This window comes from Homo sapiens, chromosome 13 (assembly GCF_000001405.40).
Source record: "Homo sapiens chromosome 13, GRCh38.p14 Primary Assembly".
NCBI lineage: Eukaryota > Metazoa > Chordata > Mammalia > Primates > Hominidae > Homo > Homo sapiens.
In genome coordinates, this window is record NC_000013.11 from 71,382,756 (window position 1) to 71,391,340 (window position 8,585).

The 8,585-nt window shown below is 38.7% G+C and overlaps 1 annotated feature.

Annotated features, from left to right (window-relative positions):
- Positions 7,570 to 8,070: an enhancer, noted in NCBI's record as "H3K4me1 hESC enhancer chr13:71964457-71964957 (GRCh37/hg19 assembly coordinates)". NCBI's record gives its function as "activates a minimal SCP1, AML or CMV promoter by ChIP-STARR-seq in naive H9 embryonic stem cells {active_cell/tissue: H9 hESC(naive)}" and the evidence as "EXISTENCE:reporter gene assay evidence [ECO:0000049][PMID:30033119]".

The window sequence follows — 8,585 nt, forward strand, 5'->3', positions numbered from 1 at the left end:
TTCAAAATAACTCAGTGTTTTTTCTTTGGTTTTGTTTTGTAAAATTTTCTTGGTAATTTCCTCCTTTGCATTTCTCATTATCATTCTTAAACACTTACTAATAATCAATAAGTCCTCCTGTATTGATATTCTGATTATCTTTTCATTTCTTTCAGATTTCTCATTTTTTAGTTCTTTTCTCCTAATTTCCAGTAGAAGTATCAACTTTCTTTCCTAAAATACCAGTGGAAAATTTTATTTTACTACTTTTCTATTTCCAAAAGCTTTTTATTTTCTAGTTTTTAAAATGTTATAGCATCTTATTTCTATTTTATTGATGAGTATTGGACTTTATTTAGATGAGGATATACATTATAATTTCACTCAATATTTTGTTTGTGTTTTCTGCAATTGATTTTTGTGGGGTTTTTTGTTACTTTACTTTTGTCTCTTTTTTATAGAAGTTTTCTGTAACTTATGCATCAGGTGACTGATGATGACCTGTTGTTACATTTACAATGTAAAAATTAGTCATCAAAAGGTGTGCATGGTAGGAGTCTGTAGGCTGGTAGACCTTACCAGGGAGTAAGTGTGTGGAGATTTCATTGTTTCCTTAAGGGACTTCCAAATATCTGCCTTGATAGGCCTGTTATCTTGGGCTAATAAATTTCTCAGAGAGGAAAATTTTAGACTCCCCTTTTTCTATATAAGGTGGATGGAATTGAGAAGGGGTTAAAAAAGTTAACAGTAAGAGCATTTTTAAATTTGAATAGACTCCATCTCAAATATCAAATATTCATTTTTGAAATTGTTGATATATTTATTTTACTTGACAGATAAAATTATATATTTATCATGTACAACATATTTTAAAATATGTACATTTTGAAATGAATACATTGAGTTAATTAACATATGCATTGTCTCCCGCATTTTTAAATTTTTTGTGACGAGAACAATAAAAACCTACTCTTTAAGCAATTTTCATGAGTTCCATTGATTGGTATTAACTGTAGTCACCCTGTTGTGCAACAGAACCCATGAACTTATTTGTCCTATCTAAGTAAAATTTTGTATCCTTTGATCAATGTCTTCTCAAACTCATCCCATCACTCCCTCCCCAAGTCCCTGGAAACCATATCCCACTCTGCTTCTATTTGTTTGACTTTTTTGGATTCCACATATGAATGAGATCATGCAGTATTTCTCTTTCTTGCCTGGATTATTTCACTTAACATAATGTCATCGATTCAAACATGTTGTCACAAATGACAGAATTTCCTTTTTTTTAAGGCCTAAATATAGCATTTCATTGTGTATGTATACCACATTTTCTTTATGCATTCATCCATTGATGGACACTTAGATTGATTCTAAATCTTGGCTATTTTGCTATTGTGAATAATGCTGAAATAAACATGGGAGAGCAGATATCTCTTTGAGATGTTGTTTTCATTTCCTTTAGATATATATCCAGTAGTAGGATTGCTGGATCATATGGTAGTTCTATTTTTAACTTTTTGAGAAACCTCCACATTGTATTCCATGATGGCTATACTAATTTACAGTCTCAACAACGCTCTACAAGGAGGCACTTTTCTCCAAATCCTTGCCAACACTTATTATCTTCCATCTTTTTGATAATAGCCATTTTAACAGTTGTGAGATGATACCTCATTGTGGTTTTAATTTGCATTTCTCTGATAATTAGTGATGTTGAATTTTTTTTATATGCCCGTTGGCCATTGGTATTTCTTATTTTGAAAAATGTCTGTTCTCATTCTTTGTCCAGTTTTTTTTTTTAATCTCATATCACTTTTTTTCTTTTTTTTTTTAATTATTATACTTCAAGTTTTAGGGTACATGTGCACAATGTGCAGGTTAGTTACATATGTATACCTGTGACATGCTGGTGCACTGCACCCACTAACTCGTCATCTAGCATTAGGTATATCTCCCAATGCTATCCCTCCCCCCTCCCCCCACCCACAGCAGTCCCCAGAGTGTGATGTTCCCCTTCCTGTGTCCATGTGTTCTCATTGTTCAATTCCCACCTATGAGTGAGAATATGCGGTGTTTGGTTTTTTGTTCTTGCGATAGTTTACTGAGAATGATGATTTCCAATTTCATCCATGTCCCTACAAAGGACATGAACTCATCATTTTTTATGGCCGCATAGTATTCCATGGTGTATATGTACCACATTTTCTTAATCCAGTCTATCATTGTTGGACATTTGGCTTGGTTCCAAGTCTTTGTTATTGTGAATAGTGCCACAATAAACATACATGTGCATGTGTCTTTATAGCAGCATGATTTATAGTCCTTTGGGTACATACCCAGTAATGGGATGGCTGGGTCAAATGGTATTTCTAGTTCTAGATCCCTGAGGAATCGCCACACTGACTTCCACAATGGTTGAACTAGTTTACAGTCCCACCAACAGTGTAAAAGTGTTCCTATTTCTCCACATCCTCTCCAGCACCTGTTGTTTCCTGACTTTTTAATGATTGCCATTCTAACTGGTGTGAGATGATATCTCATTGTGGTTTTGATTTGCATTTCTCTGATGGCCACTGATGGTGAGCATTTTTTCATGTGTTTTTTGGCTGCATAAATGTCTTCTTTTGAAAAGTGTCTGTTCATGTCCTTTGCCTACTTTTTGATGGGGTTGTTTGTTTTTTTCTTGTAAATTTGTTTGAGATCATTGTAGATTCTGGATATTAACCCTTTGTCAGATGAGTAGGTTGCGAAAATTTTCTCCCATTTTGTAGGTTGCCTGTTCACTCCGATGGTAGTTTCTTTTGCTGTGCAGAAGCTCTTTAGTTTAATTAGATCCCATTTGTCAATTTTGGCTTTTGTTGCCACTGCTTTTGGTGTTTTAGACATGAAGTCCTTGCCCATGCCTATGTCCTGAATGGTAATGCCTAGGTTTTCTTCTAGGGTTTTTATGGTTTTAGGTCTAATGTTTAAGTCTTTAATCCATCTTGAATTGATTTTTGTATAAGGTGTAAGGAAGGGATCCAGTTTCAGCTTTCTACATATGGCTAGCCAATTTTCCCAGCACCATTTATTAAATAGGAAATCCTTTCCCCATTGCTTGTTTTTCTCAAATTTGTCAAAGATCGGACAGTTGTAGATATGTGGCATTATTTCTGAGGGCTCTATTCTGTTCCATTGATCTATATCTCTGTTTTGGTACCAGTACCATGCTGTTTTGGTTACCGTAGCCTTGTAGTATAGTTTGAAGTCAGGTAGTGTGATGCCTCCAGCTTTGTTCTTTTGGCTTAGGATTGACTTGGCAATGCGGGCTCTTTTTTGGTTCCATATGAACTTTAAAGTAGTTTTTTCCAATTCTGTGAAGAAAGTCATTGGTAGCTTGATGGGGATGGCATTGAATCTATAAATTACCTTGGGCAGTATGGCCATTTTCACAATATTGATTCTTCCTACCCATGAGCATGGAATGTTTTTCCATTTCTTTGTATCCTCTTTTATTTCATTGAGCAGTGGTTTGTAGTTCTCCTTGAAGAGGTCCTTCACGTCCCTTGTAAGGTGGATTCCTAGGTATTTTATTCTCTTTGAAGCAATTGTGAATGGGAGTTCACTCATGATTTGGCTCTCTGTTTGTCTGTTGTTGGTGTATAAGAATGCTTGTGATTTTTGTACATTGATTTTGTATCCTGAGAATTTGCTGAAGTTGCTTATCGACTTAAGGAGATTTTGGGCTGAGACAATGGGGTTTTCCAGATATACAATCATGTCGTCTGCAAACAGGGACAATTTGACTTCCTCTTTTACTAATTGAATACCCTTTATTTCCTTCTCCTGCCTAATTGCCCTGGACAGAACTTCCAACACTATGTTGAATAGGAGTGATGAGAGAGGGCATCCCTGTCTTGTGCCAGTTTTCAAGGGGAATGCTTCCAGTTTTTGCCCATTCAGTATGATATTGGCTGTGGGTTTGTCATAGATAGCTCTTATTATTTTGAGATACGTCCCATCAATACCTAATTTATTGAGAGTTTTTAGCATGAAGAGTTGTTGAATTTTGTCAAAGGCCTTTTCTGCATCTATTGAGATAATCATGTGGTTTTTGTCATTGGTTCTGTTTATATGCTGGATTACATTTATTGATTTGCATATATTAAACCAGCCTTGCATCCCAGGAATGAAGCCCACTTGATCATGGTGGATAAGCTGTTTGATGTGCTGCTGGATTCGGTTTGCCAGTATTTTACTGAGGATTTTTTCAACAATGTTCATCAAGGATATTGGTCTAAAATTCTCTTTTTTGGTTGTGTCTCTGCCTGGCTTTGGTATCAGGATGATGCTGGCCTCACAAAATGAGTTAGGGAGGATTCCCTCTTTTTCTATTGATTGGAATAGTTTCAGAAGGAATGGTACCAGTTCCTCCTTGTACCTCTGGTAGAATTCGGCTGTGAATCCATCTGGTCCTGGACTCTTTTTGGTTGGTAAGCTATGGATTATTGCCACAATTTCAGCTCCTGTTATTGGTCTATTCAGAGATTCAACTTCTTCTTGGTTTAGTCTTGGGAGAGTGTATGTGTCGAGGAATTTATCCATTTCTTCTAGATTTTCTAGTTTATTTGCACAGAGGTGTTTGTGGTATTCTCTGATGGTAGTTTGTATTTCTGTGGGATCAGTGGTGATATCCCCTTTATCTTTTTTTATTGCGTTTATTTGATTCTTCTCTCTTTTTTTCTTTATTAGTCTTGTTAGTGGTCTATCAATTTTGTTGATCCTTGCAAAAAACCAGATCCTGTATTCATTAATTTTTTGAAGGGTTTTTTGTGTCTCTATTTCCTCCAGTTCTGCTCTGATTTTAGTTATTTCTTGCCTTCTGCTAGCTTTTGAATGTGTTTGCTCTTGCTTTCCTAGTTCTTTTAATTGTGATGTTAGGGTGTCAATTCTGGATCTTTCCTGCTTTCTCTTGTGGGCATTTAGTGCTATAAATTTCCCTCTACACACTGCTTTGAATGTGTCCCAGAGATTCTGGTATGTTGTGTCTTTGTTCTCGTTGGTTTCAAAGAACATCTTTATTTCTGCCTTCATTTCGTTATGTACCCAGTAGTCATTCAGGAGCAGGTTGTTCAGTTTCCATGTAGTTGAGCAGTTTTGAGTGAGTTTCTTAATCCTGAGTTCTAGTTTGATTGCACTGTGGTCTGAGAGATAGTTTGTTATAATTTCTGTTCTTTTACATTTGCTGAGGAGAGCTTTACTTCCAAGTATGTGGTCAATTTTGGAATAGGTGTGGTGTGTTGCTGAAAAAAATGTACATTCTGTTGATTTGGGGTGGAGAGTTCTGTAGATGTCTATTAGGTCCGCTTGGTGCAGAGCTGAGTTCAATTCCTGGGTATCCTTGTTGACTTTCTGTCTCGTTGATCTGTCTAATGTTGAAAGTGGGGTGTTAAGGTCTCCCATTATTAATGTGTGGGGGTCTAAGTCTCTCTGTAGGTCACTCAGGACTTGCTTTATGAATCTGGGTGCTCCTGTATTGGGTGCATATATATTTAGGATAGTTAGCTCTTCTTGTTGAATTGATCCCTTTACCATTATGTAATGGTCTTCTTTGTCTCTTTTGATTTTTGTTGGTTTAAAGTCTGTTTTATCAGAGACTAGGATTGCAACCCCTGCCTTTTTTTGTTTTCCATTTGCTTGGTAGATCTTCCTCCATCCTTTTATTTTGAGCCTATGTGTGTCTCTGCATGTGAGATGGGTTTCCTGAATACAACACACTGATGGGTCTTGACTCTTTATCCAATTTGCCAGTCTGTGTCTTTTAATTGGAGCATTTAGTCCATTTACATTTAAAGTTAATATTGTTATGTGTGAATTTGAACCTGTCATTATGACGTTAGCTGGTTATTTTGCTCATTAGTTGATGCAGTTTCTTCCTAGTCTCAATGGTCTTTACATTTTGGCATGATTTTGCAGTGGCTGGTATCGGTTTTTCCTTTCCATGTTTAGTGCTTCCTTCAGGAGCTCTTTTAGGGCAGGCCTGGTGGTGAGAAAATCTCTCAGCATTTGCTTGTCTGTAAAGTATTTTATTTCTCCTTCACTTATGAAGCTTAGTTTGGCTGGATATGAAATTCTGGGTTGAAAATTCTTTTCTTTAAGAATGTTGAATATTGGCCCCCACTCTCTTCTGGCTTGTAGAGTTTCTGCTGAGAGAGCCGCTGTTAGTCTGATGGGCTTCCCTTTGTGGGTAACCCGACCTTTCTCTCTGGCTGCCCTTAACATTTTTTCCTTCATTTCAACTTTGGTGAATCTGACAATTATGTGTCTTGGAGTTGCTCTTCTCGAGGAGTATCTTTGTGGCGTTCTCTGTATTTCCTGAATCTGAATGTTGGCCTGCCTTGCTAGATTGGGGAAGTTCTCCTGGATAATATCCTGCAGAGTGTTTTCCAACTTGGTTCCATTCTCCCCGTCACTTTCAGGTACACCAATCAGACGTAGATTTGGTCTTTTCACATAGTCCCATATTTCTTGGAGGTTTGTTCGTTTCTTTTTATTCTTTTTTCTCTAAACTTTCCTTCTCACTTCATTTCATTCATTTCATCTTCCATCGCTGATACCCTTTCTTCCAGTTGATCTCATCGGCTCCTGAGGCTTCTGCATTCTTCACGTAGTTCTCGAGCCTTGGCTTTCAGCTCCATCAGCTCCTTTAAGCACTTCTCTGTATTGGTTATTCTAGTTATACATTCGTCTAAATTTTTTTCAAAGTTTTTAACTTCTTTGCCTTTGGTTTGAATTTCCTCCTGTAGCTCGTAGTTTGGTCGTCTGAAGCCTTCTTCTCTCAACTCGTCAAAGTCATTCTCCGTCCAGCTTTGTTCCATTGCTGGTGAAGAACTGCGATCCTTTGGAGGAGGAGAGCTGCTCTGCTTTTTAGAGTTTCCAGTTTTTCTGTTCTGTTTTTTCCCTATCTTTGTGGTTTTATCTACTTTTGGTCTTTGATGATGGTGATGTACAGATGGGTTTTTGGTGTGGATGTCCTTTCTGTTTGTTAGTTTTCCTTCTAACAGACAGGACCCTCAGCTGCAGGTCTGCTGGAGTTTGCTAGAGGTCCACTCCAGACCCTGTTTGCCTGGGTATCAGCAGCAGTGTCTGCAAAACAGTGGTTTTTCATGAACCATGAATGCTGCTGTCTGATTGTTCCTCTGGAAGTTTTGTCTCAGAGGAGTACCCGGCCGAGTGAGGTGTCAGTCTGCCCCTGCTGGGGGGTGCCTCCCAGTTAGGCTGCTCAGGGGTCAGGGGTCAGGGACCCACTTGAGGAGGCAGTCTGCCATTTCTCAGATCTCCAGCTGCATACTGGGAGAACCATTGCTCTCTTCAAAGCTGTCAGACAGGGACATTTAAGTCTGCAGAGGTTACTGCTGTCTTTTTGTTTGTCTGTGTCCTGCCCCCAGAGGTGGAGCCTACAGAGGCAGGCAGGCCTCTTTGAGGTGTGGTGGGCTCCACCCAGTTGGAGCTTCCCGGCTGCTTTGTTTACCTAAGCAAGCCTGGGCAATGGCGGGCGTCCCTCCCCCAGCCTCTCTGCCACCTTGCAGTTTGATCTCAGACTGCTGTGCTAGCAATCAGTGAGACTCCGTGTGTGTAGGACCCTCTGAGCCAGGTGCAGGATATAATCTCCAGGTGTGCCGTTTTTTAAGCCCGTCGGAAAAGCACAGTATTCAGGTGGGAGTGACCCGATTTTCCAGGTGCCGTCTATCACCCCTTTCTTTGACTAGGAAAGGGAACTCCCTGACCCCTTGCACTTCCCGAGTGAGGCAATGCCTCCCCCTGCTTCGGCTCGCACTTGGTGCGCTGCACCCACTGACCTGTGCCCACTGTCTGGCACTCCCTAGTGAGATGAACCCGGTACCTCAGATGGAAATGCAGAAAGCACCCATCTTCTGCGTCGCTCACGCTGGGAGCTGTAGACCTGAGCTGTTCCTATTCGGCCATTTAAAGTGGTAATTAGTTTTCTTGCTAGTAATTTGTATGAGTTCCTTATATATTTTGGATATTAATCCTTATCAGATGTACGTATGCTATGCAAATATTTGCTCCCATTCTCTAGCTGTCTTTTTACTGTTGATTGTTTCCTTGGCTGTGCAAAAGTTTTTATTTTGATGTAGTCCAATTTTATTTCTGCTTTTGTTGCCCATGCTTTTGAAGTCTTGTCGAAAAAAATTTATATTTAGGCCAAAGACATAGAGATTTACCTTCTAGCAGTTTCACAGTTTCCTTCTAGTAGTTTTACAGTTTGGGATCTTATGTTTAACTCCTTAATCCATTTTGAATTAATTTTCATATATGATATTAGCTAATGGTATAATTTAATTCTTCTGCATGTGGATATCCACTTGTTCAGTTGTGTCATTTATTGAAGTGCCTATACTTTCCCCTTTGTCAGAAGTCAATTGACCACTGGCTGGGTTAACTTCTTTCTGAGCTCTCTATTCTTTTCCATTGGTCAACATATCTCTTTTTATGCCAATACCATGCTGTTTTGATCACTATAGCTTTGTAGTACACTTTGATTGCTGTTCTTTTTGCTCAAGATTTCTTTAGCTATTTGGGGTCTTTTGTGATTGCAAAAA